The sequence below is a fragment of the Homo sapiens genome, chromosome 14, assembly GCF_000001405.40.
Source record: "Homo sapiens chromosome 14, GRCh38.p14 Primary Assembly".
Classification (NCBI taxonomy): Eukaryota; Metazoa; Chordata; class Mammalia; order Primates; family Hominidae; genus Homo; species Homo sapiens.
In genome coordinates, this window is record NC_000014.9 from 34,039,598 (window position 1) to 34,062,936 (window position 23,339).

Below are 23,339 nucleotides of genomic sequence, written 5' to 3' on the forward strand. Positions count from 1 at the left end.
CTTAAGTTCTGAAAATATTTCAAAGACAGTAAAATAATGCTGAACTTCTGAGGAGGGTATTTGTTTGCATTTCTTACTGCTGATCTGGAACTACCTAATATTAAAGCACCTTGGAGAGTAATGAAAGAAATACACAAGAGAAGAAGAGGCAAACACTGGTGGGTCACTCACTGTCTCAGGGCTTCCTTTGTGGAACCAATAGGTATTTTGAAAAGCATCCTGAAAACATGTCAAAGGTCTAAGGATTGTTATCATTGGGGCTGGTGAGTCATGGCCCAGACAGACAGTAATACAGGTGCCCAATCGGCTGCTGTCTATCCAAAACATGCCACTGGACTGTGAGGGAGGCAACCCTTAAAATGGTGTGAAATAGAAAAAGAGGACAAACTTGTCTGCAGCACTCAGGAGGCTCAGGGAATTAACCAGGAGGGAACAGTAGCCCGGTTAAAATAGTTTCTGTACTTCCAGAGGAAGCAATTAAATCTCAGCGTCTACCATGGCAAAAGACCGATTGTACTTGAGGAACAAAATCGGGGATGATCATCCTTTAGTGGCGGGAAGCTGGAAAATGAGGTAGGACATATAGGGTGATGGGCAGGACTCTGCTATGGACTGAATATTTGTGTCTCCCTCACCAAATTTATAAGTTGAAACCTAAATCCCCAATGTCATGGTATTTGGAGGTGGGGCCTCCAGAAGTTTTTATATCATTATGGTGGAGCCCTCTTGAATGGGATTAGAGCCCTTATAAGAAAAGACATGACAGAGATGCTCTCTCTCTGGTTTCTGCCATGTGGGGATACAAAGAGAAGATGGCTATTTCTAATCCAGGAAGAGGGCCCTCACTAGACACTGGATCTGCTGACTTCTGAGCCTCCAGAATTGTGAGAGATAAATTTCTGTTATTGAAGCTACCCAGTCCATAGTGGTTTGTTATAGCAGCCTAAACTAAGACTCTATTCCACCAGAAGCAATTTTTAAAATAGCTTTATTGGCATATAATTGGCATCCAATACACTTCATGTGTTTACAATATAAAATTTAATATGCGTTGACACAGGCACACACCTACAAAACCATCACAACAATCAACCATCACCGGCACATCCATCACCACCAAAAAGTTTCCCAGTGCCCCTTTATCATCCCTGCCTCCCTGCTCTTCCTTCCCTACCCACAAGATAAGCACTGACCTCCTTTCTTTCATTATATATTTGTTTGCATTTTCTATAATTTTATATAAATGGAAACATGCAGTATATATGCTTTTTGAGGATGGGGGGGGTCTGGCTTCTTTAATTCAACATAATTATTTTGAGAATCATTCATGTTGTGGTATGTATCAATTGTTCATTCTTTTATATTGCTGAGTAAGTAGTTTTTCACTTATAGCAATTTTACATCTCAAGCAAGGTTACCCTGGGACTAAAATTTTGAGGTGTTAAGGAAAGTTTATAAAAAATGTGGGCTTTCCCTTAGAGCAGAGCTTGCTGCTGCTATCTTGGGAAATAAACCTTTTCTTTGGTCTCAAAATTAAGGACAGTTAATTAAAGAAAAAATAGCCATTTAATATTCTTTAATGATAAAAAGAATTTTGTAATTCCCAGGGACTGTGGGCTGTGAGGAGAGAGAAAGAGGCTTGAGAAACCAGAAACCATCATTTGCATCCAAGGTAAATCTCAACCCATTCTGATTCTCAGTTTCCTATTGTTTGTTTCTGCACTTGTGGTAGTAAATGCACTGAAGAGAATGTTACTATTCCAGTCTTGATTTTGCTTTTGGAATCACTAGAAGGGAAGACTACTCTGCACTGCAATTATATCATTCATTCGTGCATTCATTCATTCAGTCACCATACATGTATCAGTGTCTTCTCTATGCTTGACATCACACTGGGGATAAAGAGACAGATCTAAGGCTTATGGGAAGACTCGGTTCCTGCTTTCACAGAGTTATGGGGTATGCAGGTATCAAGGCTGCAGAGTTTTACAACAGACTGACAGTAAATGAGAGATCAAAGAGATGACAGACAGGTCAAGATGGTGCTGAGGCTCTCAAGTTCCCATCATGGAGACTAGAAGACAGGATTGAATATGGATATGGTGACAGAGGAAGGATTCTGACTCATAGACTATTAGAAAACACAGGCCCCATTGGCAATAACAGAGAATGCAACCCCCAACTCCCCCAAAGGAGCGGTGGGGAAGACTGGAAGATGTAGAGGCATATGGAGCATGGCTCCTGTCTCCAAACACTAGCCTTGAATGTGCACATTGTTGTTTGCACTACCAAAAAGTAAAGAAACCTATTTTCCTTTTTTTTGTTTTTTTCTTTTTTTAAGACAAGGTCTCACTCTGTCGCCCAAGCTAGGGTGCAGTGGCGTGATCACAGCTCACTGCAGCTTTGACCTCCCAGATTCAAGTGATCCTCCCACCTCAGCCTCCTGAGTAGTTGGGACCACAGGTGTGTGCCACCACTCCTAGCTAATATTTTAAAATTTTTGTCTATAGAGATGGAGTCTCCCTATGTTGCCCAGGCTAGGCTTGAACTCCTGGCCTCAAGTGATCCTCCTGCCTTGGCCTCCTAAAGTGCTGGGATTACAGACACACCCAGCCTAGAACCTATTTTTATAAATAGGTGGCAGTAGTCTACAGAAGTTTCCTTTTAAAAAGTGTGTTTGTTCCCAATCCATCTGTCATAAAGTTACACTAAAAGAGCACAAAGGGAAAATAGCAGGACACAAAATTGAATGAGTAAGGTGAGGATTATAATAAAAAATACAAACAACCTATTGCTTAGGAGGAAGGGGATCTAGTGGAGAAATGCCCAAAGAAATACCAGAAAAGCTAAACATCACCTTTTTGTGTCTTCTTCAAAATTTCTTTAGTGAGCATTTTCCTATTCGAGTTTTCAAGAATTATTTTGAAACATATCCTTCATGGGAAGTCATGGATTCTCAGCAGAAGGAAACCAAAATCACCAATCTGAATTTGCCTGCAGTCTAGAGAGAAGCCTAGAACCAGGGAGGGGGCTTCAGGGAAGCCAGTGGCAAAGGAAGGGTAGGACTTTGCCAAGGGGTTTTTGCAGCCTGAGAACTATACCCTGAGGTGCAGAGTGAAGAAGTGCAGATAGGAGGGACTGGAGTTCAACGGGAGAGCAGCACACAGGCAGGTGTGAGTAGTAGCCTTAGAAGGGCCAGGACCAATAAGGCCAAGGACATGGCTGGGCAGCCATGAGAAAGCAATTTCTTTAGACCTCAGGATCCTTGTCTTCCAAATGGAAAAGGAGCACTGGGTGATCTTTAAGATCCCTTTTAACATACAGGAATTTGAATTGTATAATTCATGCCAATATATATCTATTGAAGACCTCAGCTGAGATTCTCCAACCTCAGCCTCCCAACTGGCTGGGACTATAGGCGTGTCCCACCACACCCAGCTAATGTTTTTTATTTTTTTGTATAGATGAGGTCTCACTATGTTGCCCAGGCTAGCCTCGAACTTCTTGGCTATGTCTGAAGCACAGTGGGTCAGCAACTACAAACCTCCTCTCCAGTTAGCTCACATCAATCCAAAAATATTGAATATCGGTTACTCAATATATAGTGATGTATATTTTCTAGAAAAAGAGTTGTGTTGTGCAAAAGTAATCCCACATTAAAGCAAGGGCTAAGAGGGCAAACCTGTGGGGGTTTTTTGTTTTGTTTTGTTTTGACGGAGGAGTCCCCAGGCTGGAGTGCAGTGGCGCTATCTCGGCTCACTGCAACCTTTACCTCCCGGGTTCAAGTGATTCTCCTGCCTCAGCCTCCCAAGTAGCTGGGACTATAGACACACGCCACCACACCACACAAAAATACAAATAAATTTTTGTATTTTTAGTAGAGATGGGGTTTCACCATGTTGGCCAGGATGGTCTTGATCTCCTGATCTCATGATCCTCCTGCCTCAGCCTCCCAAAGTGCTGGGATTATAGGCGTGAGCCACCGTGCCCAGCCAAACCTGTGTCTTTTATAATGTTCCAATCTACTCTGATTAAGGACGTTGGAAAAGGGATTCTCTAAGGGTCATGGAATGGAAACTAACACATGCCTCAAAGGGGAGATGCCAAGACATGGAGGAAAAACCTAGTACCCTCATGGACGTTACTGTCAGAAGGGGTGTCCTTGTCTTACTCCCAGAACTGTCTCCAGTCACCACTGTTGACTAAAGTTAGAGGTGAGCTGCTGTCTCTTGGTGAGGAATGTGAAAACTCATGCACAGATAGGTGGAGCAGGAAGTTGGGGGAAGGTCAGAAAGAAAACAAAAGGGTTTCCTGGGATGAGTCACTGCCTTTCTGGGAAACCATTTCAGAAGCCACCGTGAAGTCCCCAACACCTGTCCAAGCCCTATACTTTGTGCTCAAATGAAGTGTGGCAAACAAAGTTCTGAGCCACATCTGACAGCCCACAGGCCACATGGAGGGCAGAGGTGTGAGAAAGAGCTGTGTGAGGCCAGCACACGTGACAATCTGCACATCACCTACCAGAGTCTCCAGAGCTCACTTTTCAGTGGACTGAAGGCTCTTAGTTCAAATTATCCTCTTCTTTAAATGGAGCACACTTTATGCTATTGTTTCCTGCAATGGCCACAGCTTGGATTTTCAGATAAAGTTTTTAAGTGTAGAAGGCTTACTGAATCTAGAGGAAAAAAACAAATCTGACCATAATCCTGAGTCTACAAAGTAAAATGGGAATTGGTGGATCCCACATGAGATGAATTCCATTTGTTAATTTATGTTGATCTGGAAACAAAACCAACTTTTATCTCTTCATCCACTAAAAGGGATGTGTGCAACAAACTGGAGAAAGTCAACCAAGACATAGGAAGACACGGGTGCCAGAACACAGGGCATCCAACCCAGGAGAGCAGGAGAGAGGAATTCCAGAATGATGGCAAGGAGAACACGGTGGCCCTGGAGAACCACCTCTCCCAAATACGGGCAGGACAGGGGCCTTTAGGAGGGCTGTCTCAGTGAAAGAGGGAATAATGTTTGCGCATGGATCAGGACGTGATGCACAGTTCTGTCAGGGAGCTTTGCGTGCAAAACCAACCAACTAAGCCAATTAAAACAAAAATAAATCAATTATTCATTCCAGAGGTAAAGAGTTACATAAGAGAGAACAAGTAATCTTAGCACAGTACATGGCTCAGCGTGAATGATCGTCACATACTTCCAGAAATGTGACCACCGAAATATTGGTTTCATCCACATCATAAAACAGTGCTATAACCATATCTGGAGCAAGGGAGGAAGGGGAGAGTGACAGAAAGGGGGATGCAAACACAAGAAAACTAACTCCTCATCTGCCTCAGCAGAAAGTTAGTGCATAATATCCAAACCTGCAAAATCAAGAAATAGCAGCATAAGCATGTTGTTTAGAAGGTTTTCGGATTTGGAAGCAGTTGCCTCAGGGGTACAGAATCAGGTATGAAGCAGGGTAGCCACGGCAAATGTTTCTTGATGTAACATTTGTAGTGCTGTTTTGACTTTTTCTTTTTCTTTCTTTCAAGAGAACGTTTCTCTCTGTCGCTCAGGCTGGAGTGCAGTAGTGCAATCATGACCCACTTCAGCCTCCGCCTCCCAGGCCTTTAAGTGATTCTCCTGCCTCAGCCTCCCAAGTGGCTGGGACTATGGTGTGTACCACCATACTTAGCTAATATTTTGATTTTTTATAAAGACTGTGTCTCACTACATTGCCTGGGTTGGTTGCAAACTCCTGGGCTCAAGCAATCCTCTTGCCTCAGCCTCCCAAAGTGCTGTGATTGCAGGTGTGAGTTACTGCACTGGACTGTTTTGACTTTTTAAACTATGTACATATATTGTTATAACTGTTAAGGGTATAGTTGAGAAGATAGGTTTTTTTTTTCTCTTTGAACCAATGCAAAAAAAAAAAAAGAAGAAAAGAAAGCATGTTACCAAAATTATAAGTTGTATGAAACCACATTTTTACCTATTACATACATAGAAAAATATCTAAAATAACATATACCAAGGTGTTAACAATGACTACCTCTAAGTGATAGAATTATGATTTTTTTTTAATGTATATTTATTTTATTCCTTTTTTTTTTCCCCGAGATGGAGTCTTGGTCTGTCTCCCAGGCTGCAGTGCGGTGGCGGGATCTCAGCTCACTGCAACATCTGCCTCCTGGGTTCAAGCGATTCTCCTACCTCAGCCTCCCTAGTAGGTGGGATTACGGGCACCCACCATCACGCCCAGCTAATTTTTGTACTTTTAGTAGAGATGGGGTTTCACCATGTTGGCCAGGCTGGTTAGGGCTCGAACTCCTAACCTCAAGCAATCCACCCGCCTCGGCCTCCCAAAGAGCTGGAATTAGAGGCATGAGCCACTGCGCCCAGCCTATTCTATTTTTTAATACATATATTAACTCTGTGAAAAACAAGAAAATTAATAAAGCTTTTAAAATGAAAAGGAAGACTAAGAACAGCAGAAGAAAAAAATAAACAATAGTGGATCTGAGTCCAGAAATCAGGCCCTGCTACTTCCTAGTTTTTTTATACTTGGCTGATTCTTATCCTTTTTGGACTTTAGATTCCTCAATTTTAAAGTGGCAATACTGTTATCTATTCTCTTTCCTGTGAGGGGTTATTGCGATATTGCACAAACCTGCCCAGATATAAACATACTAGGCCAGACGCAGTGGCTCATGCCTGTAATCCCAGTACTTCGGGAAGCCGAGGCAGGTGGATTGCTTGAGCCTAGGAGTTCGAGCCCAGGAGTTGGAGACCAGCCTAGGCAACATGGCAAAACCCTGTCTCTACAAAATATTTTAAAAATTAGCTGGGCGTAGTGACACACACCTGTGTCCCAGCTACTGGGGAGGCTGAGGTGGGAGGATCGCTTGAGCCCAGGATGCAGAAGTTCCAGTGAGCTGTGATTGTGTCACTGCACTCCAACCTGGACAACAGAGTGGGACCCTGTCTCAAAAACAAAAACAAACAAACAAAACAGATATAAACATACTAGATAGGACAAGGGGCATGAGAAGAACACACAAAATGGGGGAGTCTCTGTACTTCGCATACCTTCAACGGCATCATGGCCCTTCTTCCCTAGGGGTGTTCACTCACTGGTCACACTCCTTCAGCCCACCTCAGGGAAATCCCTCCAAAGCTCCTTCACGCACGAGCTCGCTAGAGATTGAAATTCAAGGACTCTTCCCTTGTGCCTCTTCTTGTTTCTTGACTTTCAGGGGCAGCCTTGCTGAATCAGATCTTCTACACCCGCCTTATGCAGAAAGCTTGCTTTTACTGGGATATACTGACTTGCCCCTACCTCCTCCCAGGCCCATTCCTCTCAACTACAGTCACCTACCAAGCTAGCATTTTTGGGATTTTGCACAGGGCCTGGGGGAGAGAGAGAGAGAGAGCCTCTAAGGTGTGTCCCTCCAAAGACATCTCCAAGAATGAGAGACCTTAGTCCTGAGGACAGTTTCCTTAGAACTAGGTTGCTTTGAAAGGCTGAAGATTCACAACCAGAATACAGGAGAGACTTCAAAGTTTGCAGGGGGAGGTGAGTGTATTTAAAAATTAATCAACTTTCATCCAAAGCTTTGGAATGCAGCAGTGTCCCCTCAGCCAAATTGTAAAGCCTGAACCACCAACTGATGCTATGACTTCATTCTCACCATCAAAGCCACTTGCCCTGACAAAGAAGTGCTCCAAGAAGAATCCTGAACTGGGAGTTATTAGAGTACACAACCCACAGCCTTATCTCTAACTCTGCTAGCCATGCAATCTTGCGAAGTCATTTAACTTCTTTGTGTCTTTTCCTTATCTACAAAATAAGGCAGTCACTATGCTGGTGACTGCATATGCTTCTGGTGAGGCCTCAGGAAGCTTCCAATCATGGCGGAAGAGAAGACGTGTTATGTGATGAGAGGTAGCAAGAGAGAGAGGAGAAGGTGCCAGGCTGTTTTAAACAACCAGCTCTCCTGTGAACTCACAGACTGGGAACCCTCTCAATACCATGGGGAGGGCACCAAGCCATTCATGAGGGATCACACACCTCCCTCCAGGCCCTACCTCTAACACTGGGATCACATTTCAACATGAGATCTGGAGGGGACAAACATCAAAACCCTATCCAATCTCAAGGGCCCTTTTTTTGCCCAGTAAAGATTATTAAGAGCTACTTTAATTTTTAAAACTTAATCTTCAATCTATGTAAATTACTAATTTAAAATCTTAGGTTCTGCCTTAGGATTTTAAGTTTAATATAGAAATATTATTACTCTTTATAAATATAACAATTGTTGGGGGGAGGGATAGCATTGGGAGATATACCTAATGCTAGATGACGAGTTAGTGGGTGCAGCGCACCAGCATGGCACATGTATACATATGTAACTAACCTGCACAATGTGCACATGTACCCTAAAACTTAAAGTATAATATAAAAAAAGAAAAAGAAAAGTAGAAACAGGTGAGATTTATTATAATAAAACATTTTATTTAACCAGAAAAAAATATATATATATATAAATATGACAATTGTTAACAATCACTTTTTTTTTTTTTTTTTTTTTTGAGACAGAGTCTCCCTCTGTTGCCCAGGCTGGAGTACAGTGGCACGATCTCGACTCACTGCAATCTCCACTTCCCAGGTTCTAAGCAATTCTCCTGCCTCAGCCTCTGGAGTAGCTAGGATTACAGGTGCCCACAGCCATGCCTGGCTAATTTTGTATTTTTGGTAGAGATGGGGTTTCACCATGTTGGCCAGGCTGGTCTCAAACTCCTGACCTCAGGTGATCCACCCTCCTCGGCCTCCCAAAGTGTTGGGATTACAGGCGTGAGCCACAGTGCCCGGCCAACAATCACTTTTAAGAGGGCTTTTTAATTAAATGTTAGGTCCCATTTATAAATTTAGTTTATAAAACTCATTCAAATATTTTATATCGTTTATATATTTAATATATTTTATTTCTCTCATGTCAGTTGTCTAAAAACTTCTTATAGCTCTAACAAATTAAGCTTTAAAATGTGAAAAACCATATTCTCTCAAGAATCCCAATACTGATCGCAATTTTAGAATGTCTTTTAATTTAAAATTAGAAAACTAAATCAATTTCTTAATTACATATTTTGTTTGGCATCAAAAGGATGATTGTTATTCTAATGGGTCAGTTTCCCTTAAATATTACAAATACTTAAAAAACCAAATGTGTATAACAAAAATATTATGAATTTGATTCTCTTAAACATTTCTTCATTTTTTTCTAAATTTTTGCAGGATTAAAAATGCTTACCCCATAAGGAAACAATCACGTCATTTTAAACACTCTTGGGTTACCTTCCCAAGCAATTTTGTGGGTTCCATCTCAGCTATATTAGGTTTGCTACCAATCTCAGATCCCTGCCTCTATCCCGCTGTAGTGTTCAGGCCTGTTTCTGAGTTGCCTTGTCTCATAGCCTTCCTCCCATCCTGATGCTTTTCTCCCAAATCACCACTTGGTTGATTTCAACTAATGTATAATACTTGCTGCTCCATTCTGTTCTGATTTTTCTTTCTTTTTCTTTTTTTTTAAGACAGAGTTTCGCTCTTGTTGCCCAGACTGGAGTGCAGCGGCGCAATCTTGGCTAACTGCAACCTCCGCCTCCCAGCTTAAAACAATTTTCATGCCTCAGCCTCCTGAGTAGCTGGGATTACAAGTATGCGCCACCATGCCCAGCTAATTTTGGATTTTTAATAGAGATGGGGTTTCACCATGTGGGTCAGGCTGGTCTCGAACTCCTGACCTCAGGTGATCCACCTGCCTCAACCTTCCAAAGGGCTGGGATTCCAATTTATTTTTCTATTCATCCTATTGGCACCACAGTGCTTACAGACATTTCAATGCCATCCTAAGGAATTCCTCACTGAGATTTGTCTAACTCAGTTTTGTTTTCACAGTTCCAAGTTCATGCCGCTGTTGGGTAGAAGAAGGCAGGGAGAGAAGACAGAGTAGGTAAAGAGCATTTCCATTTCTGACTGGCTTTCCCCATGGCACCCTCCTGTCAATAAGGATCAGGGGACCAAGCACAGAATGTATCACTGCCCCTGCACTCTTTCTCCATCATGGGGTCATCACAGTCGCCTCTCATCTGCCTGACCTCAGGATTTTCCCTGCAGAGTCCTGAAGACTTTACCAGGGGCCAGGCAACCCAAGAAACAGTTTACCAAGCCAAAGGTCAGTGAGTGATTTTGCTCATGCTCTCACATTCTCTCCATCGTTCTCTCTCTCTCTCACACACACACACGCATACACACACACACACACACACACACACACACACTCCCCTAATCCTCTGTGGCTCCAAACACAGGCTCAAAATTATTCCTGTCAACCTTTGTGAGGTCAGGCACTTCCTAAGCAGATGCTGCTAATTCTATCATATCCTTCAGCTGTCGGCAATGACGTTGCCTAGCCTATTTCCTTTTTGGTCTGCTTTTATAGCACTCTTACTTGAATATCAAATAGCTTTTTGTACCAAGGCAGCCAAGTTGAACGTCTAGTTTAAAACAGACAATTTTGGGGGTGGGGGAATAATTTTGTATAAACATAATAGCCTTAGGCAAGTCTCCTTCTTCCAACCAGAGGCTGTTGTGGTGCAGTGAAAGAGCACTGGACACGGAGGGGGAGATGTGGGCCCCATTTCAATAGCTGCTACAAACTCTGCCTTTTGGGCCTAATTCTGTGAGCATCAGTTCCTTCACCTGTGATATCACTGACACGGACATGGGAGCAATTGCTAAAGTCATTGCCAAGAGTAGATTTAAAAGCACATGAAACACTAGAAGTCTTTTCTTCTGTGGCCTCCAGTATCTCACATGCTCCTAGTTTCCTTTAGTCTCACCGCCTGGTCCTCCTCAGTCTCTTTGCTGGTTCCTCTCCTCTCCCCAACCTCTGAATATTGGGCTCAACCCTTGGACTTCTGCTTTCCTTCTCTCCTTGCTCCACTGGTGATCTTATCCAGTAGCATGGGTTTTAATATCATCTGTAGGCTGATGACTCCCACATTCACATCTCCAGCCCAGGATTCTCTGAATTCCAAGCTCATACTTCTACCAGCCTATTCATCATCTCAACTTGGGTGCCAAATATGCACCTCAAACTATACATTCTAAACCTGCTCGCCTGCAGTCTTTCCTAGTTTAGCTCATGGCAATTTCATCCTTCTGGTTGATTGGATCCAAAATCATAGAGTCATTCATGACTCATCTCTTTCATACCTCCCATCCTTCCATTCCATCACCAACTTTGAGTTCTATCTTCAAAAGATAATGTAAATTAGACTGTTTTTGCATCACCAACTACTGCCCTGAGGCAAGACAACATGAAATCTCACCTAGATTCTTGCTGGAGTTTCCTAAGTGGTATCCTTGGTTCTGCCCTCACTCCCTTCCACTCTCCTCGGTCTGTTTTCAAACAGCAGATGCAGTGATCGTGTTAAACTACACATTAGATCATGTCACTCCTCTCCTCAAAACCCTCCAATTTCTACCCATCACATTCAAGGAAATTACTGTTATGTATCACTTACTATAAAATGAGGATCACGATAATACCTACTTCATAGAGTTGTTGTGAGGATTTAAAAAGTCAGTATATGTGGACGGGCGCGGTGGCTCACGCCTGTAATCCCAGCACTTTGGGAGGCCGAGGCGGGCGGATCACGAGGTCAGGAGATCAAGACCATCTTGGCTAACATGGTGAAACCCCGTCTCTACTAAAAAGACAAAAAAATTAGCCGGGTGTGGTGGTGGGCGCCTGTAGTCCCAGCTACTCGGGAGGCTGAGGCAGGAGAATGGCGTGAACCCAGAAGGCGGAGCTTGCAGTGATCCGAGATGGCGCCACTGCACTCCAGCCTGGGGCGACAGAGCGAGACTCCGTCTCAAAAAAAAAAAAAGACTTTGGAGGTATGCACTATTATACCCATTTTACAGTTGAGGAAACTGCATTACAGAGAGATTAAATAAATAAGCTCCCCAAAGTCACATAGCTAGGGAATGGTAGAACCAGGCTTCTGCTGCAGGCACTTGGCCTCCATGCCCTGTTCTTTCGCTACACTGCCTCATCAGTAAGCCTTCTTCCAGGACACGCTCTACATGCTGAATAGTACCCCCATCATATGGAGGGAAAATTAATTTACTTGACCAATTCCTCACAAAGTCCTCTGATCATTCCAAGGGCTCTAACTTAAGCTAACAAATTCATTTACTCAACAAATACTATTGAACGACAAGGTACTAGGCATTGAAGACACACCAATGAACAACCAAAAAATGGACACAAAGTTCTGTCTTCATGGAGTTTACATTCTGTTAAAAGTACTTTTTATAATGGAAGCATCACTAGAGACCTGACTTGCCTACTGAGTAATTGCTTTTCTCTGCCGAGGTGAACAGGCTCAGCTTCATTCATTTGGCGCATCTTGTGGCCAAAGCACTTGGCTAACATCTGTGGGAGGAACAGAAATGATTCAGACATGGACTTTGCTCAGGGAAGGTTGTATATTACGATGTGCCTGGGTATCTCAGCAGCAGTACTTGTTGAACATGTTCCTGGGTCTGTCCTGTGCTCTCTCATTTAACATCTAAGCTCCCTAAGGGGGAAGAACATTCTTGTGGTTTCCTTTTTCTCTGCCCACAGAGCCTAGAAGAGTGCTTTAAATACTTTGGCTTTGCAGTTTATGTTCTTTATTGAGTACCAACTTTTAGAAAGATTCCTCAAAAATCTATTTGGCCATAAATTTTGCTCCCCACTCTTCTGTCTTTGATACCACATTTATTCCATCAGCAGACAAAAGAGAACTAAGACTATAAGAGCTACCTCTTATAATTGTTAATATTTTCATTGTCCTTTCCCTAATTAATTTTAACTATTTTAACCATTTAGCCACTTGGATGGAGGAACCCTGGTAGTCTACGGAATAGTCACGTCAAAGACTGATTGCCCCCCACCACCCCCAGCCAACACACACACACTTTAAACCCTTCAGTGATTTCTCACTGTTCTTAGGAAAAACAGCCAAATCTTCAGCAAGGTCTCCAATGTACAAGGTTCTGAGTGGCCTGGCTGTGCCTGCCCCTCGGCCTTTCCCCGCAGCGTCATGAGTCATCTTGCTCTGGGCACTGCAACCACAGGGCCTGTTTGTGGATTCCAAACACTCCTGGTCCATCCTGCTGCAGGGCATTTGCATGTGCAGTTCCTGCTTCCTAGAAAGCCTTTTCTTCTTCATCCTTTAGACTCAACTCAATCATTACTTCCTTAGACAAGCCTTCACTGGCCCCGGGGCCCCGACTCCACCCAGCATCATATCTTCTCATAGCATCAGCACCTCTCCTTCAGGCCCCTCTTCAGCTGTTCCTTCATCCCAGGTGTAATTTTACTTGTGTAGGTGGAAATATGTTATTAATGTATTTCTCCTCCACTATGCTTCATGAGTACAAAGACCATTTCTGATTTTTCTCACCATTGTATATCCAGAGCTGGGCACAGTGCTTGAAACTAAAAAAAAAACAAAAAATTACTCACTCAACAACCATATAATGAGCACCTTCTGTGTGCCTGGCCCTGTTCTAAGCCCTGGGAATACAACAGTGAAAAGCCAAAGTCCCTGCCTTCCTGGAGCTTATATTCTAGTTTTGGATAAGAGACAATAAACAAATAAGCAAGATGACTGCAAGGAAGGGTAAGTGTTATGGAGAAAGTACTTCTGAAGGGAACAGGATGTGAGCACTGGGGACAGGGTAGGATAGTATCTCAGATAATGGTCAGGAAAGGCCTTTACAGGGATCTGGCATATGAGCCGAGTCCTGGGTACTCTGAAGGGGGGACTGAATTTTATTGCAAAAGTTAGGACAGTCCCAGGCAAATCAGGACAGTTGATCACCTTGTTGATCATAGTATGCTGCCTGCTTCAGCCACTCACCCAGAAAATGATTCTCTCACACCTTCTAAATTTCATTTCCAGAAACACTCCTTCATGAGAATTAACACAGCTTAGAACACAGTAAATGCTTTGTAATGATGAGGAGACTTCCCAGGAATCCACACCCACTAACTTTAGGAGCAGTCCTGCCTTTGGGATTCCCAGTCAAAACCAGGCCCTCTCCTGCAACCCTCCCACTCTCAGAGTCCCATACTTGGATTTCCATGTGGATGGAATCCACCCAGCAGGAAAAGCTCATTTCCTCCCTCCATCTGGCTCACTCTCCCAGCCTGGAATCTTCCCCCACAATATCCCTTGGCAGACTCCTCTTCTGCACTCCCTCCTGGCTGGCTCAACTTCCGGCCAGTTCCACCCAATAATAAACTACCTGTAATGAACCACAGAGCAGCAGATCCCTCCAGTGGTCCTCCTGCTCCTTGGGGCACACACTTGAGCAGGCCCTGCTTCAACAATTGGCAGCTGCCCGCTTGGCGCAAGCACTCACACAAATTCTTCCTTACTCTCATTAGTCTAAACTAGGTCTTTATTTAATGGATTTAGAAACAGTTCACTGGCTAACCTGATTTTTTGTTTCATCTCCAGTCAAATTCCCAAGCCACTGTTGAAAGCTTCCCTTTTTATCTTCGCCCCTTTCCCAGCCCCAACTCTCCCCTCACCAACTGTATGAGCAACATTAGCACCTACGTCATTGAGATATTAGAAGGATTTAACCGAATTAATATACACAAAGCACCTAGAACAGTCACCAGCACACAGTAGCCCTTCACGTGAATGTATTCAATGAATGAAATGCTAGCCCTTATTATTGTCCCTGAGATCTGAGAGTCATTTGTGCCTTGATAGTAAGTAGCTGCCTGCTATGATTTTATTTGAAGAGACAAATTATCCTGTTGCCCAAATGCTCCCCCAGCAAACTTAAAAGTCCTGCAACCAGCATCTGTATTTAAAAAGAGCACGTGAGGTCAGGCACGGTGGCTCAAGCCTGATTTCCTAGCACTTTGGGAGGCTGAGGCTGGTGGATTACTTGAGGCCAAGAGTTCAAGACCAGTCTGGGCAACATGGTGAAACCCCATCTCTACTAAAAATACATAAATTAGCCAGGCTTGGTGGTGCATGCCTGTAATCCCAGCTACTTGGGAGGCTGAGGCACAAGAATTACTCGAACTGAGATTGTGCCACTGCACTCCAGTCTGGGTGACAGAGCAAGATTCTGTCTCAAAAAAAAAAAAAAAAAAAAGAAAGAAAGAAAGAAAAAGAAAAGAAAAGAAAAAAAAAAAAGCACATGAGAAGGATGGGAAACATTACAACAATTTCCCATTTTTCTCCCCAGAAGAGTTTATTAGATTAAATAGAAGTAGAATACTAAGGACTATAGCTGGATGGGGAGGACAGAGTTTGAGGCTTGTTTAGAAAAGAAGGTCAGAAGCTCTCACTGTAAGGAGGGGAGGCATCATGAGAGCATTGGACTCTTGACGGGGTGAAGGGAGTAAAGCTGAGGGCATGGAGAAGTGGAAGGGGTGTGGAGAGGAGCGATTACAAAGACAAAATTCAGCTAAGTTAATGGAGCCAGGTCCTTTCCTAAAGCCACATCTTCCCTCCCCAACTCTGCCCCAATCAAGACTAGACTACATACTGCAGGCATCCTACTCAAGAGAAAAGAGCCTGGATTTTCAAGCCACCATAAACTCAGAGCAACTCCCAGTCCTACCATTTACCAGTTGACTAAGTTCATTGACCCTTCTGAACCATGGATTCCTCTTCTATAAAAACAAAACAGAAACAAAAACTCTCAAAACAAAGTTGTGAGGATTCAGTAAGATAAGGCAGGTGATAGGCCAGCTAAGTGCCCAGCTTCTAGGAGGTGCTCAGATCGCTTAGTTTTTCAGCCAGCTTTCTGACCTCACACTAAGTCCACAGCCTCTTGCGCTTTTTCCTATCTAGTTTTTACATGTAATTTATTACATTCAATTCAATTCAACAGAGATTTTATAGAATGCCAAGCACTAAACTCTGGGGATACCAGAGGATCAGGTCCCCTTGCTCCCCATGGCCCCCCAAAACTTGTAGCCTATATAGGAGACTAAAGATTAAATATGCAGTTACAAATGAACAATGAACATTCCAATAAGGGAAATACAGGAGCTGTCAGAACACAGCTCTCACATTACACAATAGATGTAAAATGAGCTCTATGTCATTTATGCTAAATGTCAAGACACAGGAATTAAGCACTTCCACAATAAAAATCTAGGTGGATACCTCAGTAGAGCAGATTTTTATGTTGGTGGTAGTTTCCAAAGTTAGCACATAACTGAAAGCAGTCACTTGAAAAAAAATCCCTTAAATTATCCATAAAATAGTGTATACATGGTTTTCGTGTACAAGTATGCATTGCTGTGTGTATGTAAATACGTAATAATCTACACAACAGATAATTGACAAAGAATAAATATGCAAAATATAAGTTTACAGATTTTACTACACAGAAGAAACCAAAAGTGAAATTAGAAAAAGTTTGCAAAATCAATGTTCTAAAAACTTCCAGTGGAAATGCATGTTTTGTTTTGATAACAAATTCTAAAGGGCCAGGACACAGCTGCAAGGCCAAGCACATTCACACTCTTCAACCACCCTGGGCTTTTTAAAAGTGTGAATAAAGGCAGTAGCTTCAGAAAATCATTCTTTGGTTCTCTTAGTTGTTAGACTTCTGTAGGAGCCTGTCAATCTTACAGAGTATTAATAGAAAGAAAATTACCACCCCACCCCACCCCCCCCCCCCGCAAAAAAAACCTTATTGCCTTTTATTTTTGGACAGGTTATGGAATCACAAAATCTCAAGGTTGTAAGGGAACCGAAAGAGCACTGGTCCAACCTGTCATCATATGTTTCAATCCCTCCCAAGGGATCAAACAGTCTCTACTTAGATATTTCCAGTAGCTAGAAACTACCCCTTCCATCTTAGAACACCTCCAGCAGTAATTTAAATGCACAATTGCTTCAAAAATTTAATACATCAAAATTATGTGTTGCAGGAAGATCTTCCTGGCAGGGATTCACTTTAAAAGTATTATGAAGAATTTACTCTGCAATATTCTTAGTGTATAAAAGGGTCATACAGACTAATAAGAAAATCGCTAAGATCTCAATAGATAAGAAAAAATGTAAATCATCACATTTGTATTTAAAAGTTCAGTCAGCTGGGCGCAGTGGCTCACTCCTGTAATCTCAGCACTTTGGGAGGCCGAGGTGGGCGGATCACCTGAGGTCGCGAGTTTGAGACCAGCCTGACCAACATGGAGAAACCCCATCTCTACTGAAAATACAAAATTAGCTGAGTGTGGTGGTGTGTGCCTGTAATCCCAGCTATTTGGGAGGCTGAGGCAGGAGAATCACTTGAACCCAGGGGGCAGAGATTGTGGTGAGCCGAGATTGTACCATCGCACTCCAGCCTGGGCAACGAGAGTAGAACTCTGTCTCAAAAAAGAAAAGGTCAGTCTACCTAATTTAATAGGCAAAAAATTATCCCACATTTTAATCCATTAAATAACAAAGGTCAAGACACATTGCACCAAAAAAGCAGTGAGATATAAACTGATGGTAGAACTGTAGATTGCTACAACTTTTATGTATTTCATTTTGGCAATATTCATTTGTCAAAGAATAAGCCTAGAGGTTTGTTGTCGTTGTTGTTGTTTCATCACAGCTGAGTCTACTAATTTACCAGGCAAGGGAACACAAACCAAAACAGAAATTTGCAATGTATCCCTGTTAGGGAAATGTCAGGGGTTGCTTTTTAAGTGCTGGAGAGAAGTGCCTGATGATTATTCTAGTTAAGCATTGACAACTAGCATTCTAGACAGTCAGTCATTTAAACAAGTGTCACTGTCTGTGGTCAGGAAAGAGTTTTCAATCAGGTCCTGTGTGTGGGTGGGGCCCGGGGGGGTTCCTTAAAGTTAATGGTCAGCTTTAGCAGGTTAGAACCAGCTGGGATAAAACACAGTCTTTAGTTTTGATATTCCTAAGCAAGAAGGGAAATTTCTTCCTTGTTTTCTTCACTCATTCAACAATGCACATTAAGGCTGGGCACGGTGGTTCACACCTGTAATCCCAGCACTTTGGGAGGCCCAGGCGGGCAGATCACTTCAGATCAGGAGTTTGTGACCAGCCTGGCCAACATGGTGAAATCCCATCTCTACTAAAAATACAAAAAACATTGGCCAGGCATGGTTGTACGAGCCTGTAATCCCAGCTACTCGGGAGGCTGAGGCAGGAAAATCTCTTGAACGCAGGAAGCGGAGGTTGAAGTGAGCTGAGATCTCGCCACTGCACTCCAGCCTGGGCAACAGGGTGAGACTCCGTCTCAAAAAACAAACAAACAAACAAACAAAACATGCACACTAAGAACCATCTCCATGCTGGACACTGGTAATACAGCAGTAAAGCAGGCAGAGATAGTTCCTGTCTTCATGGAAATTGCCACCAAGTAATGTGATCTTGTCATGAAAATGTTTATATTATTAAACCTAAAAATTTCACTTTAGGAAGCTTATGTTAAGGAGATAATAAGCTGGTCAAATATTTATACACAAATATATTCATTGGAGTATTGCTTAAGCCAAAAAACAGAGACAACCTAAATTTCCAACAGTAAGGGAATTGCTTAAAAAATACATAATACATTCATAAATTGACTATAAAAGGTTTAATGACATGGGAAATGTGTACGATATAATATTAAGCAAGGCAAATAATATTTTCAAGACATAGAATGTGGCCTCAATTATATTAGACATTATATAAAATAAACTTTTAAAATACTTGGTTGCTGATCATGGTGGCTCACATCTGTAATCCCAGCTCTTTGGGAGGCCAAGGCAGGCAGATTGCTGGAGTCCAGGAGTTTGAGACTGGCTGGCTAACGTGGTGAAACCCTGTCTCTACAAAAAATACAAAAATGAGCTGGGCATGGTGATATGCACCTGTAGTCCCAGCTACAGGTCTGGCTAACATGGAGACACCCTGTCTCTACAAAAAATACAAAAGTTAGCTGAGCATGATGATATGCACCTGTAGTCCCAGCTACTCTGGAGGCTGAGGTGAGAGGATGACTTGAGCCCAGGAGGTCAAGGCTACAGTGAGCTGTAATCACACCACTGCATTCCAGCCTGGGCAACAAAGCAAGACCCTGTCTCAAAAATAAAATAAAATAAAACAAAATGAAATACTTCGAAAGAAATATACCTCAAATGCTAACATTTTATTGGTGTATGAATGTTGTATTACGGGATTTTTTTTTTCTTCTTTATATTTTAGTGTATTCACTTTTATGAGAGTTTGTATTAATTTTATAATCTAGAAAGAATTTGGCAAACATCCCCTCTGAAAAAAAAAATCAGAACAAAAACTACCCCCAAATAGGGAAAACTCTACAAATGGCTTAACTGTGTATACAGTCAAGATCCTATAACCTAGGTCTCTGTATCTAAAGGCAGAATTTACGTGTGAATTAATCTCATTTTTGTTTCTGCTGACTCCATAGAAACTGTGCTCTCCATGGCTTCCTCAAGATGAGCAAACAAGAGTGATACAGATTTTTCTGAGATGGACAGTGCCTCTCACTGACCCCGCCCCCAGTATCCTACGACCAAGGAAAAGAATCTCATGTGTCATTTCTGTGGGCCACGGTAGTTAAGGAAACTCCATGTATTTTCATCTGGAGCCTCACAGCAACCCTGACAAGTGGCTAAGTGGGGACAATGTGAAGCTCGGCTGCCCTTCCCCAAGGCCCTGGTCTTGACAGTCCTCAGGGGCTGGAGGCCCCCCTCATCCATGTCCCCACAAGATTTCTGTCCATGGCACCCAAGGACCCACTCAAATGGTCTTGAATGGACCTGAGGAAGACTGGCGAGTTATTGGTTTTATAAGCACAGTTGTGTCCGTTTACATCTACCAGAAGGTACAGGGATATGGCGAGAGTGAGAAGACGTGACACCTGTTAATACAAACTCTCCCCTTTAACTTGTCTTTCCAGAGAACACAGAATGGGAGACACCGCTAAAACAGGCCACGTTAGCACTAGAACTGATAAACTGAGAGCTAGGTTCTAGATAGAAAAGTTACGATGAAACATCCTCATCATTGTCAACAGATGAATATCTAAACCTCAGCTTTGATGTCCTCTGCCAAATGGATTGGATGATGCCTGCCCTTGCCACTCCACGGGGTCTTTGGGGATGAACTGAGCTACAATGGCGAGGGAGCGGGTGGGATACTAACTGGCCCTTCCCCTAGATAGGAGGCCATCAAGTGCAGAGCCAGAGACCGGCCCTGGGCCTCCGCAGGCTCCCCCGGAGCCAAAGAGAGGCCAAACCGAAGCGCCCTGCCCAAGGCCGCCCTAACGCGACTCTGGCCGCTCCTGCCTAGCAGATACCGGCTGGTGCCCTCGCTTCGGATGCAAGATCCCAGCTCTGCTGCAGCTTTCGAGCCGGAGGGACAATCGAAATGATCAAAAATGCCCGGCGGGCAGCCTTGGCGAGCGCGCGGCGGGGCGCGGGGTGAAGTCTCGCCAGGGCGCGCCGCGGCGGACACCGAGCCACACGCACTGTGCCTGCGCCCGCGGCCGCCCCGAAGGTAGTCGGTAACTGCGGCGGGCGGCGGCCGGGGCTGGACAGCCAGCCCCGCCCGGCAGGCTCGCAGCTCACGTAGCGCTAGCGTGAGTCAGCGCGTTCCAGCGCAGCCCCGGGCCGAGGGAGGGCTCCCGCGCGCAGCGCCAGCAGCCCGCACGTACCGGCCCCGGGAGGGGGCGCCTAGGTGGTTCCACTCGCGGGTGCCCTGTGCCCTGCAGTGTCCCCACGCCCCAGGTTGTCCCCCTCGAAAGCCACGTGGGCGTGGGGCTCGCCTTCCCTGGGCGGAGTCCCCATCGGTGCCTGCCCGCCCGGAAGTAGGGGCGCGAGGGTGACGGGCAAGACCGAGCCCGGCCCGTGATTCTTCCTCAGCCGGAGCTCGACCTTCTCCTTGTCCCTTGCGTTTCCTTTCTTTGAACCACACACTCGCTCGCTCACGTTTGTCCCGACTAAGTTGCCCCCGGCCCCCGCAGCTGTCATGAAGATAGATGGAGAGGTAGCTGCGAGAGCCCAGCCTCGGCGGGTGGTGCCCAGGGCGGACTGGGGAGACTAAAGACAGTAAAGGGCGGGTGGGACTCGAGTCCTCTATCCACCTAATCTCACATGCAGTGGGACTTATCATTCCAGTCGGTCTGCATTTCCTCAAATCTGCACCTGTTTAGTTACGACAACCAGCTTTATAAAAGGAAGCGGCCTACGTGCCTGACAGCTGAATGACGGAATTAGAAGTCATTCTCTACTAAATGTGTGAACATAGCAGGACCTCCGCTTAAGTTCTAGACCTACAGGGTTGCAAGTCTGGGCCTCCTGGGGGCAGGAAAAAATTCCAAGTCCTCCTTTGCCCCTCGGTAAAATGTTCTTTCACAAATTAGAGCCAACGGCACATCTGTGATGTGCCTATGTCACTTTTTCAAAGCCTTGCTCAGGGGTTGGAATGTCGTGGAGAGGGAGACGAGGTGGGTGCTTATGAAGGGAAAGAGATACATGGGGAAGGGGGAGAGGAAACGTTGATTAGGAAAGGAGCTTGCAGTCATGAGTAAAGTGACTGACAGAACGTTATTGAGCCTGTCATGGAGATCAGGCACTATTTGGGCACCAGTGACGCAAAATAAGTGGCTCCCCGTGGTCCCTGCTCTCAGGGTTACAGATGAGTGGGAGATATTAACTAAGTAGACAGTGAAACATGAGGAAGACTTAGTATGACGGTTCAGCACCCAGACTTGGGAACCAGGCTGTGCAGGTTCTGATGCTGGCTCTGCAATTTACAGACCGTGTGATCTTAGCCAAGTGAGTACCCCCATCTGTCCTCACCTTCTTGTTTTGGAAAATAAAAATGGTGAAAACGACTTACTTTTTAGGACATTTCAGAGGTCTAAATACATTAATACAAGCAGAGCACTGGAATTCAGTAGGCACCGAATAAATCTTGTTAATAGAATAAATGGAGGAGATACAGGCAGGGGCTGCCAAGCACAGCAGAGCAGGCTGTATGCTGTACAACTCCAGAAGACACGTTCGTAGAAGTGAATGGAGCTTTCTGGAACTGTGCAGTGTGGTGGTCCTGAGTATGAGTGATGTCTATTTTAGCATAGTTCATAATAGGAAAAAATGGAAAATTCAAATGCACTTATCTATAAATGTGGTATGTTCATACAGTGGAGTACTATTAGAGCTATTAAAAGGGATCAGCTGCATCTATGTGTATCAAAATCTCAAAAGTATATTGAATGAAAAACAGCAAGTTGCAAAATGATACATGCAGCATGATGCCATTTATAGAAAGAAAATGTACATACACACAAAAAATCCCATATATATATATATATATATATATATATATATATATATATATATATGCTGGAAAAATACACACCAAACTTAAAGCTGTCTTTGAATGGAAGGGGAGGAATTCAGATTTGAAATGGTAGTCATAGGAATTTAGCTTATTCTCATATTGTAATAATTGTTTCAAAGAACAATGTGCTTATATATCATGCAGTTTTTTATTTTAAGGAATAGATATAAAATAAAACTAGAAGCAAATATGTCAACACTGGCTAACTGTGGGTTGCTGGAATATGAGTAATCATTATTTTTTCATTTGTACTTTTCTGAATATTCAAATTAAAAATAATTACAACCTTGCAGGTCAAGTGCTATGCTAAAGGTGTAAAAGGGATGGGCCTGGAGAGCATGTCTCGGGTGAGGCTACGCTTGTACACCCACAATCTTCGGTCACAACAGAGAATGGAGCAAGCTCCCCAAGACCCCTCTGCTCTAACCCCACCCTGGGGCGGGCTGGGTGCCTCTGGAATGCCATGGCTGGCCAGGGTTTCCAGACCAGGGCTGTCCTGAGCATGATGCTGCTGGCGACCATGCTTTGCAGGTTCTTCTTTCAATCCTTACCCTCCCTAAAATATGGCGTTCTGGTTGGTGCCTGAGGGGGAAACACCAGATGATAGTAGAACCCTTGAGGACAGGGAACCATCCATGCTCTACAAGTGGGTCACCTACAATTCTGAAAATTAACTGAGTCATTGAATTCAACGCAGCAAGTAAATGGTAAAGGTGGAAATGGAAACCATATCCACCTTATATCTATGAATGTCTACTATTCTCTGCCTCTGTGCAGGACCCTTTCACAGGTGTTGTCCTCTTTTGGAGCAGCTCAATGAATTGGTCAAGATTCCAGGCTTTGTAGTTGCTCAGACCTAGGCTCGA

General features: G+C 43.8%; 2 long non-coding RNA genes across 2 annotated transcripts in view, besides 8 other annotated features; one reads left to right on the forward strand and one right to left on the reverse strand.

Annotated features, from left to right (window-relative positions):
* Positions 1-23,339, reverse strand: part of LOC102724945 (uncharacterized) — a 244,858-nt gene that overhangs the window by 80,727 nt on the left and 140,792 nt on the right. The gene's annotated exons all lie outside the window — the stretch shown is intronic.
* Positions 384-22,765, forward strand: EGLN3-AS1 (EGLN3 antisense RNA 1). Its single transcript, NR_184209.1, has 3 exons — positions 384-573; positions 1,608-1,672; positions 19,535-22,765. It is a non-coding gene; the product is annotated as an EGLN3 antisense RNA 1 (long non-coding RNA).
* Positions 3,026-3,320: a silencer, noted in NCBI's record as "tiled region #12661; HepG2 Repressive non-DNase unmatched - State 6:EnhF". NCBI's record gives its function as "represses a minimal TATA promoter and a strong SV40 promoter by Sharpr-MPRA in HepG2 cells {active_cell/tissue: HepG2}" and the evidence as "EXISTENCE:reporter gene assay evidence [ECO:0000049][PMID:27701403]".
* Positions 3,839-5,038: an enhancer, noted in NCBI's record as "BRD4-independent group 4 enhancer chr14:34512642-34513841 (GRCh37/hg19 assembly coordinates)". NCBI's record gives its function as "activates an origin of replication core promoter dependent on BRD2, P300/CBP, MED14 and CDK7 cofactors, and independent of BRD4, by STARR-seq in HCT116 cells {active_cell/tissue: HCT116}" and the evidence as "EXISTENCE:reporter gene assay evidence [ECO:0000049][PMID:35650434]".
* Positions 4,166-4,460: an enhancer, noted in NCBI's record as "tiled region #2297; HepG2 Activating DNase matched - State 5:Enh, and K562 Activating DNase unmatched - State 5:Enh". NCBI's record gives its function as "activates a minimal TATA promoter and a strong SV40 promoter by Sharpr-MPRA in HepG2 and K562 cells {active_cell/tissue: HepG2 | K562}" and the evidence as "EXISTENCE:reporter gene assay evidence [ECO:0000049][PMID:27701403]".
* Positions 4,166-4,565: an enhancer, noted in NCBI's record as "active region_8246". NCBI's record gives its function as "activates an Ori minimal core promoter by ATAC-STARR-seq in GM12878 lymphoblastoid cells {active_cell/tissue: GM12878}" and the evidence as "EXISTENCE:reporter gene assay evidence [ECO:0000049][PMID:35858748]".
* Positions 15,687-15,736: an enhancer, noted in NCBI's record as "active region_8247". NCBI's record gives its function as "activates an Ori minimal core promoter by ATAC-STARR-seq in GM12878 lymphoblastoid cells {active_cell/tissue: GM12878}" and the evidence as "EXISTENCE:reporter gene assay evidence [ECO:0000049][PMID:35858748]".
* Positions 20,220-20,721: an enhancer, noted in NCBI's record as "H3K27ac hESC enhancer chr14:34529023-34529524 (GRCh37/hg19 assembly coordinates)". NCBI's record gives its function as "activates a minimal SCP1, AML or CMV promoter by ChIP-STARR-seq in primed H9 embryonic stem cells {active_cell/tissue: H9 hESC(primed)}" and the evidence as "EXISTENCE:reporter gene assay evidence [ECO:0000049][PMID:30033119]".
* Positions 20,220-20,979: a biological region, named in NCBI's record as "H3K27ac hESC enhancer GRCh37_chr14:34529023-34529524".
* Positions 20,620-20,979: a silencer, noted in NCBI's record as "silent region_5661". NCBI's record gives its function as "represses an Ori minimal core promoter by ATAC-STARR-seq in GM12878 lymphoblastoid cells {active_cell/tissue: GM12878}" and the evidence as "EXISTENCE:reporter gene assay evidence [ECO:0000049][PMID:35858748]".